This window comes from Homo sapiens, chromosome 9 (genome assembly GCF_000001405.40).
Source record: "Homo sapiens chromosome 9, GRCh38.p14 Primary Assembly".
Lineage (NCBI taxonomy): Eukaryota > Metazoa > Chordata > Mammalia > Primates > Hominidae > Homo > Homo sapiens.
In genome coordinates, this window is record NC_000009.12 from 68,366,839 (window position 1) to 68,387,776 (window position 20,938).

A 20,938-nucleotide genomic window follows, 5' to 3' on the forward strand; every position below is an offset into this window, starting at 1 on the left:
ATTATTTATTCATATAACACAATTATTATAAAAATATTTTGCTCTGATTAAAATAAAAGAAGGACGAGATCATGTGTGTTTTTGTCCCAGTAGCTTTACTAACCAGAAAGCGCCTGCTGATGTGGTGATCACAGTTGCTTTGGTGCAGCTTCCTCTTGACTTTTGGCATTTCTCCATGCTGCTAGCTAAGGCTGAGGTGGCGACTGTTGAAGGTGTGAGCTTCTCCCCCTCCCGGCACACATTTGTATGCGTACTCACACTCATGCACACACAAACACACACATGCACACTCTATCACAGTACATGAGGTGGCAGCAGCTGCTCCGGCATAGACTTTCACACAACATAAAGGACTTTTTTGGTGTGGTCTGTGCATTATTTCCTGTTAAGCGTGAGCTGAGTCAGTGCCCTGCTTTTCCATCTGAAACCTTTCTGAGGCTCAGGCTGTGTTAAGAGCAAACCCTCTCCCCTTCATGCCCACCCCATGGCCCTCTACTGAAGCCAGATCTTAATCTGCTCATTTCATGAGGATTTTCAAATCGAATGGACTGGGCCATGTGAGAGATTACTGAAAGGAACAGACCAAGCAGGGGCTAAGAGACTCCACGCTAATCTGCTGAGTCGTCTGAAAATGCACAGCTGTGGGAGCTCACGGTGCTTTAAAGTACTTTGGCAGGATGTTTGTTCAGGGGGCCTGTTCCTGCATCCCTGCTGAATGTTTGGTTAGGAGGCATAATCTTTTTTTGGACAGGATCTCCCAAATGTAAAGTGATAGATGCTAATGTGGAATATAATACAGAAGATCCAGCTTGGATGTCATAAATAACAATAAATTGTTTAATCTTGCTGAGCTGTAAATCTATGATTGCCAGAGGTCTTTAGTTCACTGGAACATAGTATGGGGGCAGGGGCACTTAGCAAATAGGCAGTTATTATTTTCCAACCAGACAGAAACTGGTCTGATGGAATTTATCTAAAAAGGCATACACATGTATTTTAATTAATTGTGACAATTACTCAGAGAAAACACATGGCCCTAAAGAGGCTGAGGGGTTTTTTTGTTCTACCTATAAATGTATATGTATATTCACCTATATTCTACCTATGTATAAGTAAGAGAATGAGTTTTTGTTTTGGGGATATATATTTATACGTATCTATACAGATAGATATACACATACTTAATTTCTGTCTACCTATTAAGGTGCAGTGCCAGATGGAAAGTATTTTTAAGCATTTAGATAGTTTATTCTATAGCATATGTGTGCATATAGCCCCCCCATAAAGCTTTGTCTCTTTTCTGGATATATTTAACAAGAGGCTAGAACAGAGTCCAAAATGTCAGAAATGTTTGAACATTCCATAGAAATGAAGGAGGTGTTTCCAAATGACCTATGTTTCTATGGCAATAAATAGAACTTGTGCTGCGTTGGATGGGTCAGGAGTAAGGAATATAAACAGTGTAAGTATGACTATTCCAGGCAGAAATCTACCTTGTAAGAACAGCTTTGTGCAGTGAGCTCAACAACATTGATCAGTTAGCAGTCCGGTTCAGTACAACATTGATCAGGTAGCAAGCCGGTTCGGCAGTGCCAGTCGGAGACACAGATGGGGACAATCAAAGAAGATGCAGGTCAGGACAAGGATGCAGACATGTACCTGTCACTACCATGGACTTCAGCAGCTTCTTAGTGAGCAGGTTTATGATTAAAGAAGAAAGACATCGTTGATATGTAAGCATGTTACAATTAATTTGCTGTTTAGTTATTAGCAAACTACATCCAGTTTTTAGTTTTTAGGTTTTTTTTTTCTTTTTTCTTTTTTGAAACAGGTTCTTGTTCTGTCATCCAGGCTGGAGTGCAGTCGTTATCCAAGCTCACCACAGCCTTAAACTCCTGGGCTCAGTGGATCCTCCCACCTCAGCTTCCCAAGAAGCTGGGACTACAGGTGCACGCCACCATGGCCAGCTAATTTTTCTTATTTTTTTGTAGAGATGAGGTCTTGCTGTATTGCCCAGGCTGCTCTTGAGCTCCTGGCTTCAAGCCATCCTCCTGTCTTGGTTTCCCAAAGTGCTGGGACTATAGGTGTGACTCACCATGCCTGGCCTACATCCAGTTTAATTTATACTACAGTGTGGGTTTAGTCCTCAAACATGTTTTTGTTTTACATATAAAAATTTGAGGTAAAAGAACATTTTTACATTGGTCAATAATGGTACATTTAAACAATGGACGACTATATCCATTAAAATCATGTTGTGGAAGAATATTCAGTGACATGGAAAGATTGACTCAAGGGCAAGTGAAACGTGTCAAGAGTCTGTTAGGTACTAGACACTGTAAACTGGGTCTTGGCTGTGCTACTTGCTTACATCCTCCATCATGTGATCTTTTAGATAACAAAATCGAGATACATAGGGATTTGGGATCTTGCGCAAAGTCACCCAGGCAGTAGGTGGCAAAGTCAATTCTTACATTCTTTCCCATCGAACACCAAAATCTCAGCTTACCTCAGGGCACTCAACTCTGCTTTCTTGACCCACACCCAGGTAGACCCAATGGACACTTGTAGCTCTTATCCAGCTGGGGTGGTCACCTCATAAAATGGCAACAAGTGGAGCCCTTTCTTGTTCTAGTGAGTCAGACTGTATACCTTAAAGATTTCAGAGCACTTCCTATGTACTGAAATAGCCTCATTACCAGGAAGGACATACTTCCAATTTTCACCACCTCCATTTTGCATCCAAGGAAGATTAGATTTCTTGATCTTCTCAATGAAATCTTGAGAAATGGGTGGGCCGATTGAAGAACAAGACTTGGGCCACACTTCTAGATGCCTGTGACTTTTCGGCACTTATTCAGATATTAGGAATTGATTATGAAATCCATGGTGGTTTGATGCTCATGAACTCTCATCCATCTCTCCAGCATGTGTGTAAAGACTTCCAGAGGTACAGGACGTTGAGGATGAGCTCTCTTACTTCCATCTGGTCTCCATGTAACAAATCATATAACTGCACAATTATCCAAATGCAAATGAAGGAGTCCCTTGATGTTTGGATAACCACATTCATGCCTTGAGTTTGTTATTTCTTGAAATTGCCCTTATCCGTCACCTGTTTACCCATGGACAACACTACTTAAGGACTGGCATTCTGCAACCCATGGCAGCTTGGCTTTGGGGTTCCTTCCAGTGTTTTGTTTTTGTTTTTAACCGAGAAGACAGGAAACAGGCATCTTTGTGTATATGGCTTGCCACAGCCCTTCGTAGATGGACATGGTGGAGGCTGTATGGTCCTGGAGAACACTTCCTCTGTGTAGCATCAGGGAAGTTTCTGTTCATTGTGTCTTCACTCTCTCCAATTCACTTGGGGAGTGATAGGGATTATAACACAGTGAGCAGAGGATATTGGGGAATGTCATGCTTAATTTTCTTTTCTTTTTTTTTCTTAAATGACATTTAAAGCTAAAAGAGAATCACAAAGGGTAAGTCTGATTTAAGACATTTCACACATGAAAGAAATCCTGCTTTCATGCGTGTTATGTCACAGGAAAAACTCATTTAGAGTCAACATTCTGCACCTACTCCGAAATTTTAGCCTGAGGGTTTAAATATTACCTCGCTGCTCTCTAGGACTTTAATTTGAGCTAATTAGAAATGGAACTCATACTAAAACTAGTTTAGGAAAGAAGCTGTTGATGTTCTGAAGAAAAACAGCTGTCAGAAATAAGATCATTAAAAAACCATAGTTGTATATGGCACAAAATGTAAAGGAATAGAAATGCTGGGAGAAAGCTTTTATAGAATGACATTTTATCTTTCTTTGGACACTGGTCTAAGGCATGTGAAAGGGCATATTGATTCCCTTGGCACCTGGTATGCTCATTTATGGATGAAAAAGCCCAATGACATAATTTAGGTGAGGTTTAAGGCTTGATGGGAGGCATTGGTGCCATTAGAAGGACGGACACAAAGAGTTCTTAAGTAACGGCATCATGGGAAATGATAATTGCACACTCCTTTCTACTATGTCTTGGTTTCCCCAAGCATTTAGAAGTCATGGCTAGGTAGGAACAAATTTATCATGAGTCTGTCTGTGTGTTTGGGAATGCATATGCCTCACAGATGTGTCTGCAGGGGTCTGTGTGATAATGTTCATATATGTGATAGATGTGGACCCTGGGATCTGTATCTGTGTGGACCCTGGGATCTGTACATGTGTGTGAGTGACAGTGGACTAGGGTCCACTTTGCCCCCTTTTCCGCGTGGGAGTTGAAGGAAATGCCCCTTAATGGCAGTAGCATCCACTTGGGTGTGTGCACCTTCTGGAGGACTGGGTGAGGTTGCCCTTCTTCCAGCCAAACCCAGACCCTATGGTGTGGGACGTTCAGCGGGGAGCAACAGAATGCCATGGCTTGGTCCTCCCTGGGCTGTGGCCTGGATTTCACTCAGGAATGAAAGTCAGATATTGCCTGCTTCAATGCTGTAAACATAACTAAGGATAATTATGTAAGTAGACCATCTTTTCCTTGCAAGGTAGCGGTCTGCTGCATTGACAGAGGGTAGTATTTCTAGGACTTTTTCAGAGAGTAAAATGGTACTTTAAGGGATAATCTGCTATCTAAAGATGAATTTTAAATGTTGGAGGGGGTTGTGGGATTTGGGGAAGACAATAGAATAATTTGTGTCATGGTTAATTTAACAAAGAGTTTTTGTTTATAGAATCTGATCTTCGGTGGATTTTAACAACCCTCTTCTTTCTTGGCTTTTCAGATAAAGATGCAGAGCCTCAGAGAAGTTAAATGATTGATCCTATGTCAGGGGATAGTCAAGACTCATACCTATGCCTTTTAACTTCAAGTTGAGTGCTTTTTCTTTATACAAAAGGGCTTTCAAAAGTTATATTTCTTTTTATCAATGACTAGATCTTGAAAGCCATACCTTTTCTGATGGCATTTATCCTGAGCTAATTGGTAGAGAGAGGGTGAACAGAAGAGAAGACATAGACACGCAGAGAAGAAGACGTGAAAACAGAGGCAGAGACTGGAGTGATGTGAACACAAGCTCGGAAATATGTGGAGGCAACAGAAACTGGAAGAGGCAAGGGAGGATCCTCCCCTAGAGCCTTTCGATGAGGCAGACCCTCACTGACACCTTGATTTTGAACTTCTGGCCTCCAGAACTGTAAGGGAATAAATTTTAATTGCTTTTAGCCACCAGGTTTATGGCAATTTGTTATAGCAGCCTTGTGAAGCTAATACAAACTTTGTATTAGATTACAAACTTTGTATTCATTTCCTAGGACTCCCATAACAAATTACCACATATTTGGTGGTTTAAAATCACAGAAATTTATTCTCTCACAGTTCTGGAGGCCAGAAGTCAAAATCAAGGTATCGGCATGGCCACACTCTGTAGATGCTCTAGGGAGAATCTGCTCCCGCCTCTTCCAGCTTCTGGCAGCAGAATACATTCCTTGGCTTCCCGGGTGTGGCTGCATCACTCCAATCTTTGCATCTGTCTTCATATCTCCTCTTCTTTGTGTCTATTCTAGTAAGGACAAAGTGCTGCATCTTCCGTGATGGAAGTGGCCCAAATTAACCAATCTACCACCACGTAGCTGGCTGATCATTTGGGGAATGGTACCATAAGGAGACTCAGTGTTGGCCCCTGCTGCTGGTAGAGTAGGCACTCTGCAGTGGCCATAGCCAGGTCAGCCTTGGTGAGTGAATGTCCATGTTGTTGAGCCCATGCATAGCCTTCACCCCTGCCATCACGGCCATGGTATTACAGCATTCTTGCATTGCTATAAAGAAATACCTGAGGCTGGGTAATTTACAAAGAAAAGAAGTTTCCTTAGCTCATGGTTCTGAAGGCTGTACAAGCCTGGTGCCAGCATCTCCTTGGCTTCTGGTGAGGCCTCAGGAGCTTTTACACATGGCGGATGACAAAGTGGGAGCAGGCATATCACACAGCAAGAGTGGGAGCAAGAGAACAAAAGAGAAGGTGCCACATACTTTTAAACAAGCAGATCTCATGTAAACTCAGAGCGAGAACACACTTATCGTCAAGGGCATGGTGCTAGACCATTCATGAGGGACTCGCCCCCATGATCCAAACACCTCTCACTGGGCCCCACCGCTAACACTGAGGATTACATTTCAATATGAGATTTGGAGGAGACAAACATCTAAACCATATCAGCCACTTGGCTCATGAGCCCATTGGACAATGACAGGAATGGCTGGGGGAAAGCCACTCATTGACATCCACAGAACTGGTCATCCTATTATTAAAATCCTCCTCTGCCTAGGTCACCATTTTGTGAGTGTCCATAAGGGACACACATATCTTCACAATTTTCCATGTCTTACCTTAGAAGCCCCATCACCCTCTCTTTCACATCTCCTCCAGTACTTATCCCCCAGATGATAGGACCATGTCCAGCAATACCTCTTCTCTCTGGTATTGATGGGTTAATGAGCAGATCTCACATAGGTAAAATTTCCAGATATCTAGAATTTAATCTTCTGGTAATTCTCCAATTATAACTAAAGTATTTCAGGTTGAAACTTTATTCAAGTGTAATTACTCACTTTAACCTTCTTAAACAGAATGTATATTACCTTTTCAAAAATAACTGAAATTTAATAAGATAAAAATGTATCTATAATTGTTCCTACTTAATAACTTTACATGTTTATTTCTGCATTTTTCTAAGTCCTTGCCCCAAAGTGGACATAATTTTATACTGTAATAGCATAAAATAATTTTGCATTTGACATTTTTGATTTGGCATTAAACTGTCGTTTATGTTTCTTTCGCTACTGCTTAAGAAAATGTGGGTGGTTGTAATAAATAAACCTGAAATGTAGGCAATTTTTATTGCCTTAAAAACAATAGAATGTTATTTCTCACTCACACCATAGTCCAATGAGGATGTCCCTGGTGGGCAAAGACTCTTGTCTACCAAATGGGATGGGGACCCAGTTTCCTTCCCTCTTGTGACTCTGGCATTGCCTAGAGCCACATGATTACCTGTACTGAATCTGTAGAAAGAGAAATAAGCAGTGTAGAGATGATATGTTTGTTTTCTGATATCCTCAGCCTAGAAGAAACACACATTACTTCTGTTCTCATTCTCATACTAGTTTATCACCCATTGTCCAAATGCACCATGTGGCCACACCTAGATGCAAGGGTGGGTTGGAAAATGTAGCCCCTGGCTGGGCAGCTGTTCCTCAGCATTGACTCTGTGCTATGGAAGGGCTTCCTAAGTTTTTGTGGACTGCTATCCCAGTCTGTCACCACTATACAATCTTCATAATTTTCCCTTTAAATGGCTGAGAGAAAATTTTGAACAAAAGCTACAAACATTTTTCAGATTCTTGATTCTCCAGACTTATTACTTGAGGGCAGTGACTAAATTATATTCAGTTCTATATCAGAAGGTTCTTCCATATTGCCAGTTTCATGGTAGATACTCAATAAAATAAGTTGAATGACTACATAAATTTTAGCAAGAGCATATGGAAAATAATTTATCATGACTTTGGGTAATACTATAGGTGTAATTATTGTCCTTTCTCTTTCCTGACTTGATTAATAGCACCACTATCCATTAAGTTATTAAAGGTAGAAAGCTGAGATTATTCTTGACTCCTTTTCTCACTGGTCCAGTATTAGTTATTTATTGCAGTGTAAGAAATTACCATGAAACTTAGTGGCTTAGTTGGGGCTTGATGGGGGCTGGAGGATCCACTGCAAGATGGCTCAGTCACTTGGCTGGCAAGGTGGTGCTGGCTGTTAGCCTCCCATCTGATCCTCCTCTTTCCGCTCCTGCCACTCTTCAAGGTATTTTTTCCAGAGCAGCCGTTCATCATTCATTTATTTTTTCCCATTAATTAATTCAACAGATATTTATTGTATACTTACCATATGCCAGATTTGTTCTAGGTTCTTGGAATATAGCAGTGAAAAAGAAAACAGTCCTTGGATCTTATATACAGTGGGGAAATAAACATATAATGTAGAAAATTAGATGGTAATATGTGTGAGCACATATATTTATTATTTCTCATCATTTCTATGAGACAGGAGATGGGTATTCTGGCTTGGGGACTCACATGAGGTCACAGTTACATGTTGGTATTGGTTTGGTCATATGAAGTCTTGGTGGGGGCTGGAGGATCCACTGTGAGATGGCTCAGTCCCTTGGCTGGAAAGTTGGTGCTGGCTGTTGTTGGCAGGCCTTGCTCCCTCTTCACAGGGCTTCTTGAGTGTCTTCATGACATGGCGGCTGGTCTCTCCCAAAATAAGCTGTCCAAGAGAGCAGGGGAGAAGTGTCCATGCCATTTATGGCCTCACCATGGAAGTCACACACAATCACTTCTGCAATATATACTGATTACCCAGATCTGCATCGTTCAGTGTGGGAGGGGACCACAAAAAGGCAAAAATGCCAAAAGGCAAGGACGATTGGGGCCATTTTGGAGGCTATTTACCACAGCCCCTCTCTTCAATATTCCAGTCCACCTGCATATTCTGTTCATCCTCCTTCCAAAAATGTATCTCAAACCAAATGACTAATTTTCATTTCTGTTGGCTTTAGCCTAGTCCAAGACTCTATCAACACTCGACTCGAAGAGTCTCCCATCTGATATTCCTCTTTCTGCTCTTGCCCCCCTTCAAGGTATTTCTCCCAGAGAATCCATTCATCATACTTTCATTATTCTCCATTCATTAATTCAACAAATATTTATTGTACGCTTACCACATGCCAGATTTATTTTAAGTTCTTGGGATATAGCAGTGAAAAAAAGTCCTTGGGCTTTACATACAGTGGGAAAATAAATAATATGGAAAATGTTAAAGGCAATATATGTGATCCAGAAAATTATAGCAGGGTGAAGGAAATAGGAAACAATAGAAAAGTTAGGGACTTCTGGCCATAGTATTATATAGGGCTGTCAAGGGTGCTATCTCTGATTAGCTTACATTGAAACAGAAACCCAAAAGACAGTAGAGGGCAGGTATGTTAATATCTGGGCAAGTATTCTAAGCAGAGGAAAAAGAAAATGCAAGGGCCCTGAGGCCGGATCATGTTTGGTATGTTTGAGGAATAGCTGTTCTGTTCCGTTGTGGCTGGAACAGAAGAAGGAGGGCGGGAGGGCGATGGAGAATGGTACATGATGGAGGTCAGATTATGTAGGGCCTTGTAGACTACAATGAAGACTTTGGCTTTGTTTTGGGTTGGTGAGGGACAAGGAAAGCTATTGGAATGTTTTAGTGACTTGATGTGACTTACTTTTTAATAGGACCATTTGGGCTGCTCAGCCCATGATGTTTAAAAATGCAATCAGGTCACTTCCACTGTTTAAAACCTTTCAATGGATTCTGGTTGTACTTAGAATAAAATCTAAGCTCCCTTAGCTATTATTATTATATTATTATTAAAATTGACATCCTTTATTCTCTATTATAGCAGTCTAATTCCTTCCTAATATGTACCTCACTAGTAACTATTATTATTATTGCTTATTTGTTTATAATCTGTCTCCTCTGCTTGAAAATATGTAGCCTGGGGATCTTGTGGATTTCCATACTAAATCATCCCAAGGCCACTTTGCTTTTGAGCTGTGTGTGTGTGTGTGTGTGTGTGTGTGTGTGTGTGTGTGTGTGTGTGTTTTGATCTCTTCTGTATCTTTTTTTCCCCTGATCTCGCTGATTGTTATATTTGGTCAGTGACGGACCTCTAGCAATGATGGTGCCAGGGCAACTTTGTTGTTGAACTGTATGTTAAAGTTTGTTTTGGCTTGTCGGTTATATCAGTACTTATCAAATGAATTATCTGGGAAGAGAGGAGAGGATCTTATTAAAATACAGGTTCTTATTCGGTAGGCCTTGGGTGGGCCTTGAGGTTCTGCATTTCTTTCTTTCTTTCTTTCTTTCTTTCTTTCTTTCTTTCTTTCTTTCTTTCTTTCTTTCTTTCTTTCTCTTTCTTTCTTTCTTTCTCTTTCTTTCTTTTTTCTTTCTCTTTCTTTCTTTTTTTCTTTCTTTCTCTCTCTTTCTTTCTTTCTTTTTCTTTCTTCTTTCTTTCTTTCCCTCAGACAGAGTCTCACTCTGTAGCCCAGGCTGGAGTGCAGTGGCGCCATCTTAGCTCACTGCAACCTCTGCCTCCCAGGTTCAAGCAATTCTCCCACCTCAGCCCCCGGAGTAGCTGGGACTACAGGCGTGCACCACCATGCTCAGCTAATTTTTGTATTTTTAGTAGAAATAGGGTTTCACCACTTTGGCCAGGCTGGTCTCGAACTCTGGACCTCAAGTGATCTGCCCACCTCAGCCTCCCAAAGTGCTGGGATTTCAGGTGGAGCCACCACGCCCAGCTGAGGTTCTGCATTTCTATCAAGCTTGCAGGTGATGCCCATGTTGCCAGCCCTTTGAGTAACAAGGGGGCTTTATTACTGAGCTTGGCTGAACATTGGAATCATCTGTGGAGCTTTAAAACTACTAATGCTGGGCTCTCAACCCCAGAGATTGCAATATAATCAGTCTAGAATACAGTTTGAGTACTAGGGTTTTAAAAAGCTTCGTAAGTGATTCTATTTTGTAGAAATATTGAGAACTACTAGATTGGATGATATTGAATCCAATTTTAAAACAAGGTGTAGCAATAAATGTTCTTCAGCGCTGTGTTGCTGACTTTTTAGAAAGTCAGTTTTGTAGCTCTGGAAAGAATCTGGCTGCATCCATGAATGACCTCCAGATCTCTGCTTAGCATGACTGGGTAATTTCTCCAATGTCTCCAGCACATGCTGTCACTTAACAGCAGAAAGAGAATTCCTACTTTCAGGAGAAAAGTCATTCCTGAAGATTACAGTTAAAATATGCCCACAGGTGATGAGGTTGTACTAAATCAGTCCCCTTGCTCTCTGAGCTTGTTCTAAGTTACAGGAAGCAGAAGAAGCAGAGAAGCACTCCATTTCTTTTTTCTTGTAATCTCTAGCATGTCCACATGCATAGTTTCTGAGTCAGTAGCAAACTAAGAACTTCTTGTGTGATTCAAGCTAACCCCTCGATTATCAGAAGCAGATGTTTCAAACTACTGAAGATCAATGAGGCATATCCTATTTACAGGTTAATAATTGACTACTAGATGCAGGTGCACCAAATGGTCTTAGAGACATTAGATAGGAGAGACAATGTCAGTGCTCCCCCTACCCTGCCTCCCCTAATCTAAAGCCTACTCTGTTTCTTTTATCAAGTTATTGGCTGTATGTTAACAGAGCCTGGGGCACTTTCCTGTTGAAATGGCTTTAATCCCAAGGAACTGGATTGATTTTTTTTTTTGGATGGTTTAGATTGGACGACTGATTATTGGACAGAATGGCATCTTGTCGACACCTGCGGTCTCCTGCATTATCAGGAAGATCAAGGCAGCTGGTGGAATCATTCTAACAGCCAGCCACTGCCCTGGAGGACCAGGGGGAGAGTTTGGAGTGAAGTTTAATGTTGCCAATGGAGGTATGTGGTTCAGCATATGCCTTAATAATTACGATTTCTTTCCTCTTATATTATTATAGTCTCACAGTGACTCTTTGATGATAGACAAGCAAGGTGCAGAGGACCTAGCTCAGAAAAATTCAGTGAGGTGCCCAAAGAGATCCAACAAAGAAGTGGCATGATGGGCTCATGAACCCATTTGGGTGGTCTCTTGGTCCCCTGTACTCTTCAGCATAAACTATTGAATAGTTGATGCTTATCTGATATGGAAGGACTCTGAATTTTAACATTAAAACATACCCTGAAGGTCGTTGTCTAAATGAAAATGACCCTCATTTTACACATGAACAAATCAAAGGCCTGAGAGGCTGAGTTACTGCTGAAGGCCACAGGGTTGATCAGGGTCAGATTAATGATTTTTAGCCCAAATCCTGGCCTCTCTTTTTCCTACAGTGTTGACTTTCTCTCAAAATCATAGAATTGTTTCACTTTTTCTTATATTCACAGCAATCTATAGTTTGGGGGTCCTTAGTGGAGGGGGTGGGATATATGTATGGAGTAAATTTCTTTTAAAATTGAACACACAAAAAAATAGGGAGAATAAGAAATAGATAACATGTACCCATTATCTTGTTTTTCTATTTTGCTTATCTTTTTTTCTGAAGAATTTTAAAGCAAATTATAGCACGAGAACATTTCACACCCAAATATTTTTGTATGCATCTCTAAAAAAGAAAGACACATTGCTGCATGACTGTGCTAACATACCTAACAATAATAACATTAATTCTCCAATATCACCTGAAAACTAATCTATAGTCAAATTTTTCAATAATCCCCAAAATATTATTATTTATAGCTGTTTTATTCAAATCAGGATACATCTAAGGATGCCATGCATTTGCTTGGCAAGTCTCTTAAATCTCTTTTAATCTAGAACACTGAGTTTGCATGAATGTGGGTAGGAGCCAAATTTTAACCAGCAACAGTTACCATTATAAATTATTCCTCATCCCAGGCAAAGCAGTGCAGTCTGAAGGGAAAACTTATTATCTATCCCTCCTTGCAGACGTTTTACACGTTATCCAAACAAGAAAGTGTATTCATGTTGAATATTTAAAAAACAATATTGTAACCACAAAGCAGAAAACTAAACCACCAAACTACAAAGGTAGACAACAATAGAGGAAGAAGAGAACAAATTATCTACAAAGTAACCAGAAAACAATTAGCAAAATGGCAGGAGTAAGTCTTTTACTATCAATAATAACCTTGCTGGTACATGGGTTAAACTCTCCAATCAAAAGATACAGAATGGCTGAGTGGATCAACAACAAGATCCAACTAGATGCTGCCTACAAGAGACCCATTTTTAAACTTTAAGAATAGGCATATATTGAAAGTAAAGGGATAGAAGGAGATATGCCATGAAAACAGTTACCAAAAGAGAGCAGGGATGCCTATACTTATATCAGATAAAACAGACTTCCAGTAAAAAGCTGTTCCAAGAGACAAAGAAGGTCATGATTTAATGATAAAGAGGTCATCTTATCAAGAGGACATAACAATTGTAAACATATATGCATCCAACATTGAAGCACTTAAATATGTAAAGCAAATATTAGTGGACATGAAGGAAGAAATATACAGCAATATAACACTAATAGGGGACTTCAGTACTCCACTTGCAACAATGGAGAGATCAACCAGACAAAAAATTAACAAGACAACACTAAATTTGAACTATACTTCAGACCAAATGGACCTACCAAACCTACATTCATCCAACAACAGCAGAATATACATTCTTCTCTAGCATACATAGAACATTCTCCAGGATAGACCATATGTTAGGCCACAAAATAAACCTTAACAAATTCAAAAAGATTGAAATCATGTCTAGTATTGTTTCCAACCACAATGGTGTGAAGCTAAAAATCAATAACAAGAGGAATCTTGGAAAATTTACAAATATGTGGAAATTAAACAACATGCTTATGATGAACTAATGGGTCAAAGAAGAAATCAACAGGGAAATTAAAAAATACTTTGAGATTAATGACAATGGAAACACAATGTATCAAAACCTACAGTATGCGGCAAAGTCAGTTCTAAGAGAGAAGTTTATAGCAATAAATGCCTACATTAAAAAAGGAAAAAGATCTAAATAAGTAGACTAACATTATGCCCCAAGGAGCTAAAGAAAGAACAAACTAAACCCAAAGTGAGCAAAAGGAAGGAAATAATGAAGATCAGAACAGAAGCAAATAAAATGTAGTATAGAAAAACTATAGAAAATATAAATAAAATCAAAAGTTGGTTCTTTGAAAAAATAAAATCTACAAACTCTTAGCTAGATTCACTAAAAAAAGCAGACTCAAATAAATAAAATCAGAAATGAAAGTGGAGACATTGCAATAGATACCTCAGAAATAAAAATGGTCATAAGGGATTATTATGAACAATTTTATGCCAACAAATTGGAGGACCTAGAAGAAATGGATAAATTTCTAGAAAAACTAACCCAACAAGATTGAATTGGGAAGAAACAAAAAGTTTGAACACTCCAACAACAAATAAAGAAATTGAAGAAGTGATTAAAAACTTTCCAAAATAGAAAAGCCTAGGACCAAACGGCTTCATGGCTGAATTTTATCAAACATTCAAAGAATAATTATTACCAACACTTCTTAGACTCTTCCAAAAATTAGAGCTACAGGGAATACTTCCAAACACATTTTGTTAGGCCAGCATCACCTTGATACCTAAAGCCAGACAAACATATTGTAAGAAAATAAAACCACAGGCCAATATCTCTGATAAATATTGACGAAAACCAAATTCAACAACACATTAAAGAAATTATGAATCATGGCCAAGTGGGATTTATCCCTGACATGCAAGACTGGCTAAACAGAATGAAAGATAAAAACCACATGATCATCTCAACTGGTGCAGGAAAGGCATTTTAGAAAGTTCAGCATTCTTTCTTAACAAAAACTCTTAACACTTTAGGTATAGAAGGAAAGTTTCTCAACATAATAAAGGTCGTTTATAAGAAACCCACAGCTAACATCATAATCAATTGGGGACAACTGAAAACTTTTCCACAATTTAGTACATGGCAGGGATGCCCACTCTTGCTATTTCTATTCAACATAGTTTTGGAAGTACTAGCAAGAGCAATCAGACAAGAAAAATAAATAAAAGTCATCCAAATTGGAAAGGAGAAAGTAAAATAATCTCTATTTACAGATGATATGATCCTATATATAGAGAATTCTAAAGATTCTACACATGCACACACACACACACACACAAACACACACACAAATTTTTAGAACTAATAAATGAATTCAGTAAATTGCAGGATACAAAATCAACATACAAACATCAGTAGCATTTCTATACATAAATAATGACCCAGCTGAAAATAATCAAGAAAACAATGCCATTTATGATAGCATCAAAAAAATACTTAGGAATAAATTTAACCAAGGGGTGAAAGTATACTGAAAACTATAAAACATTGATTGAATAAGACACAAATAAATAGATATCCTGTGCTCACTGATCATGGATCAAAAACATTAATATTATTAAAACATTCATACTACCAAAAACAATATACAGATTTAACACAACCCCTATCAAAATTTCAATAACATTCTTCATGGAAATAGAAAAGCAATACTAAAATTTGTTTGGAGCCCCCAAAAACCAAAGCAATGTTGAGGAAAAAAAAGTTGGAGGTACCACACTTGCTGATTTAAAATTATATTACAAAGCTAAAGTAAAACCAAAACAGTATGATACTGGCATAAAAACAGAAACATAGACCAAGGGAACAGAATAGAGAGCCCAGAAATAAATCAAGGCATATATAGTCAAGTAATTTTGGACCAGGGCACCAAGAGGACATAATGGAGAAAGAAAAAAACCTCTTCAATAAATGGTGCCTGGGAAAACAAAAATGTAAAAGAATGAAATTGGACCCTTATCTTACACTATACACAGAAATAAAATGAATAAAGAACTAAATATAAGATCTGAAACCATAAAAATCCTAGAAGAGAACATAGGGAAAAAGTTATTTGACATTGGCCTTGGCAATGATTTCTTGGATATCACATCAAAAGCTCAGGCTACAAAAGCAAAAACAAATAAATGGGACTACCTCAAACTAAAAAGCTTTTTAGCTTTTCCATTTTTCATTTATTTATTTTATGCACTTTAAAATCTCTGGGTATTCTTTTTTAGCATCTTAAAATTTATTTTTATATGAGTGCCTGTAGATTTGCCGTATCCTTTAAAAAACAATTATTTTAATATATATTATAATTGTACATATTTTTGGTGTGCATATGGTGAAAGTCATTGGAGTGGAAGATATCAGGGAGCTTGGAAATTGAAAAGGAATTCAGAAGTTGTTGATGAACTCTGAAGTTATCAGCATGGATGGTTGAATGGCATCATAGACAACTATCTAGAGAGACAGTACTTTCTTTACTTTTGGAAATCAGTGTGCTTTGGCATTAAAACTCAGGGACTTGAAAATGATGGACACAGCCAAAGAATATAGTATGGTGCCTGGGGTGTAGGGAGTGGAGGGAGATATTCATGCATTCTATAATCTGGCAAGCATAAAATAATGCAAAAACGAAACAAGACTACCTATTCTTTAAGTTTTGTGAAGGGTAAAAAATGGTAAGGAGTGAAGAAAAGGGCTATGTTTATTTCTTTGAGGACTTCACTTTTCCCACACAACAAGAAAATTGTTGGTAAAATCTTCTGGGCTGTCTTCTCTCCCACTTACTAGAATAGGACTATTGCTATTCTTTTTTATGAGCATGTATTGGAATACGGTGATGGTGCTACACTCTAAGGCAGCGTTGTCCAACAGAAAAATATTGTGAGTCACATACATACTTTACATTTTTAGTAGCCACATTAAAAAAGTGAAAAGAAACAAGTGAAATTCACATTGTGTTTTATTTAAACTACTATATCTAAAATATTATTATACCATGTCATCAATATAAAAATTATTAATGCAATCGATTGCATTTTCTACTAACTCTTCAAAATTTGGTGTGCATTTACAATTGCAGCACACCTCAACTTGACTAGCCACATTTTAAGTGCTCAACAGCTAAATGTGACAAGTAACTATTGTATTGGACAATGCAGTTCTAAGGATTGAGATATTTTAAAAATCAAGAAACAATTTTTGTTCAGTAGAAAGTTACAGTATAGTTGACAAGTAAGATTCATACAGAAAGCTATCTATACATCTAGCGATCATTTATACTTTAGATCTTTCAATCTACTTATTTGTTTCTCAACCTTGTTGCAAAAAAAAAAAAAATCTGAAATGGCTTGCATTAAGATATACAAGGTAAAAAAAAAAAAAAAAAAAAAGCAAAACCCCAAAAGGTGAACAAGTATTGATTTCATGTTCAATTTATTTAAAGTCTAATACTACTTGTCAATTTGGTCTTCCGAGGAAATGCATCACATATTTTTAGTTGAGCTTCATTTTGGAAGTGACTAGAGATTGTGAGTTGGGGAAAATAATTAACTTACCCTGCTAAGCTCACACATCAATTAGGTAGCAGAGCTGGGAATAGAAAGCATAGTCTCCTCTTCTAGATGCACTGGGGAAGCTGCATGTAAATCTGGAATCCCTCACTTCTGTCAAATGCATATCCTGTTTGTGTCTCATAACCTGAATAAAGCTGATTACGTAACCAGGTTTCCCTGGCAGGTGTGAAACTATTTTTAGGAAAGATGTGTCATTGCTTAGAAGTGGATTAAAACAAACAAACAAACATATGGGTTGTTAGTCTACATAGAACAGGTGAGGCTGATCAAATTTCCCCCATAGTGGATGAGTACAGTATAAGAAATATCAAGGCTAATTGAACTGTGAACCATTGATCATTGTTTAGAGAACAAATGAATCTTTTTCTGCCTGGTGGAGGAGGATGGTAACATTTCACTGCTTGAAACTCACGAGACTTTCAAAAACATGTATTTTTGGTGTTCACATTTTAGGTCCTGCACCCGATGTTGTCTCAGACAAAATCTACCAAATCAGCAAAACGATTGAGGAATATGCTATATGTCCTGATCTCCGAATCGACCTATCTCGACTAGGAAGACAAGAATTTGACCTAGAAAACAAATTCAAACCATTCAGAGGTAACAGAGATTTTATTTTGAAGAAGTCAGAGTAACTATGTGGATGGGGCTGACTGGTTTCTGTAGGGAAGTAAACTCATGAAAATTATTGCATTGTTAATCTCAGGGGTGACTCGATAAATGTGTGTAAACTTAATATGGTGTAGAGAGAAGACATGAGAGCAGCCAAGATATTCAGAACTGGAAACTTTCAAAAACCACTTCCCAAACTCGATATCATTTTCAACATAGGAAAAGTTTTATGGTTGACTTCATTATAGCATTCCAAAAATAGGCTGTGAATTGCCAAAACTTGTCTAAGCAATTAAGGTGAAGATGCTGGAATGCCTTAGTTAAGAAGAAACCTAACAAGTCAATGGGTTATTAAATTTCTCATGAAAGGTAGGAGTTTCTTTTCCAAGCCATAACCAAGCTTGGAATAATTATGCATCAGCTTATTGAATGCATAATTATTGATCACCTGCCCTATACCAAGCACCGTGTTAGGAGATTTTACAAAGGAATTCAGTAACTATCAAATATATTTAGGCAAGTGATTCAAAAATTAAAGAACCAAAATGAGATTGTCAAAAATATTATCTTATATTGTAAAGCAAATATAACTTCTACAGTATTCAGAAGATAGCTTTTTGTTTTATAGATTAATTTTAGACCATATGACAACAACATTAATAACATGTATGTATACATTTTCCCCCTGTATTTTATCATATTGCTTTTTCCTAGAAGGCATAGAATAGCAATAGATCTAACATGTTTTACTTTTTTAGTGCTTCTATAAGCTTGAATGCAGTTTGTGTTAAGATGGTATCCTCATTTTAGAAGTAATTTAACTTAGCCCAAAAGAGGAAATACCTGGTTTGTGTCCATGTGATATTTTAGGGATAGAGAAAAGATTAAAATGGATTGTGTGGGGGGTCACAGTATTTGCCCAATGTTACCAAATCTTTCTTGAGAAGTTTTGAGTCAGTTGTTTGCTTAGGTAATGAGCAGAAATTTACAGAGAGCCATGATACTCACTGGAAGCAACAGTGCCTGCTTTTGCTAATCTAGCTGGGAGAATGCATAGGCATATGTGTGCACATGCATGGGATGGCTGGACAATTAAAGGCAAGGGGTACATTATATTAAGCAAAATGATTTCAATATGCTGATTACATATGGTTGGAAGGACTAGGCTTATTTTTGGCATCTTCACAATTTTTATAGTTGTCCGAGAGACCCGAATCTTCGTGGGCTCTCATTCAGGCTCATTGCTGCAGCCACATTGCTAGTTGAATGAGTTTTCTAAAAATGTTACTGATACCAGGAGATAGGTAGAGAGATTCCCTGGCTTCCAAGAATTTGGAGATAATCGTTTGGGATAATTTATGTGCTGTATTCTTGCTGGTTCAAGTGTTGAGCAAAGCTTGAGTTAATTAGGAACAAATAATTCCTTTGCATTTCACTTTAAAGTGTCAAGAGCATGAACTATATGATGTGAACTTTCAATTTTTACTGACTTCTTGTTCCCTCGTTTTTCACATTTGTTTGGTACTGTGTGTTACCTATTGTAAATACCAAATGTATTTAGGCAAGTGGTTCAAGAATTGAAGAGCCAGAATGAAATTGTCAAAAACATTATCCTATAATGTAGAGTGAGTAAAACTTCCAAAGTACTCAGGGCATAACCTTTTGTCTTACAGATTAATTTTTTTATGGTGGTAAAATATACATAACAAAATTTACCATTTTAACCATTGTTAGGTGTACACTTTATACAGGTTAATTTTTAATTACTTCATAGATTATTATGCTCCTCATGTAAAAAGATAATTTAAAAGTATCCATGTTACAAATATAATTATATTTGAATGAACACATAAATTACATTGACTTAAGTGTAAGAAAAAATATTTTTAGATATGTATTTGATCAGATGAAGGAATAATATTATATGGCATATTAAGATCTCATCCATTAAATATCACACCTGGATTTACTAAAAATTATTGAAAGTGGGTTGGTAATATCTTCAGTGCAAGTTTAAAAGTATTTCAGGGTTTCAAAGTAGTATGTATTTGAAAAATCTGAAAACAATATACGTAAGTTTCAAAATTTAGCTATGAATTTAAAAAAGCAGGGCTCCTGGACAAATTTTAGCACCTAAAGAATTGATTTACTACTTCTTGGAAAAGTACTTTCTGAGCATTAATTATACACTGATTGACAAGTATGAAAAATGTATTCTGAGCTTTTTGGTATGTCACATAAATGAATAAAACTTTTTGGATTATTGGTTACTGGGTGGTGCTAGATACTGGAAAGCATTTGTGTTTAATGAGAACTTCTAGATATTTGCCATTCATTTGGAAATTGGGTGCTAGATTGGGCATGAATGAGATTTCACGCAAACCCAGGAATATATTCATCACCAATTCTGCACTCGAATCTGGTAGGCACAATGGCTTTTGGAAAATAGGGGTCACTACTGAGGTCACTTGCTGATTTGTTTCATACCAGCTGAGTCAGTCTTTGGCCAGCCCCCACAAGAAAGGCAACTGGATATGCCAAAATGCCTCTAAACATTGAGATGTGTGCTGTGTGCATTTTTTTGGGAGGGAAAGTGGGAGCAGGAGTAACAGGGCACATTTTTATCTTAATTTATTCTTGTGGTTGATATTTTCCTTGCAAAGAAGAATTTATAACTTGGTATCATTTATACCCATTGAGCACCTGAAAAGCTTGTAGTATCTTGATTGTGCCCTGATTTGTGATTTTTGTCAACAAATGGGCACTTCGCTTCCCACATCATGTGCAGGGATATGATGGGCTTGTGACCAGAATTTCATGCTCTTAAGGTAGTGATTCTTTTTATGCTTCCAAGTATCTTTCATGGGTACAGTCAATGACATTTTCCTTTGTTTTTCTATCTTTAGTGGAGATAGTGGACCCAGTGGATATCTATCTTAACCTCCTTCGGACCATCTTTGACTTTCATGCCATCAAGGGTTTGCTGACTGGACCCAGCCAACTGAAGATTCGCATTGACGCAATGCACGGAGGTAAGCTTGTGATTTTCTCCAAATCAGTGGGCAGGAAATATTGAGACCTGTACACCTGTTGGGTTTCAGAGGTTAAGAGGAAAGTTGGATTCATAGATATTCACACAACATGTGTATGTTCAGATATTTGGAATGCTCTGGAAAACTTCAGGACCCTTATTTCTGTCTTTGGATGTAAATGAAAACAA

The 20,938-nt window shown here is 37.9% G+C and overlaps 1 protein-coding gene across 5 annotated transcripts in view; it reads left to right on the forward strand.

The window, feature by feature from the left end:
- PGM5 (phosphoglucomutase 5) overlaps window positions 1-20,938 on the forward strand; it is a 174,451-nt gene that overhangs the window by 10,228 nt on the left and 143,285 nt on the right. For all 5 annotated transcript variants that reach the window (NM_021965.4, XM_047423473.1, XM_011518783.4 and 2 more), the window contains exons 2-4: window positions 11,361-11,523; window positions 17,560-17,706; window positions 20,625-20,750. In NM_021965.4, the coding sequence (NP_068800.2) occupies window positions 11,361-11,523; window positions 17,560-17,706; window positions 20,625-20,750 (436 nt within the window). The remainder of the gene's footprint in view (window positions 1-11,360; window positions 11,524-17,559; window positions 17,707-20,624; window positions 20,751-20,938) is intronic.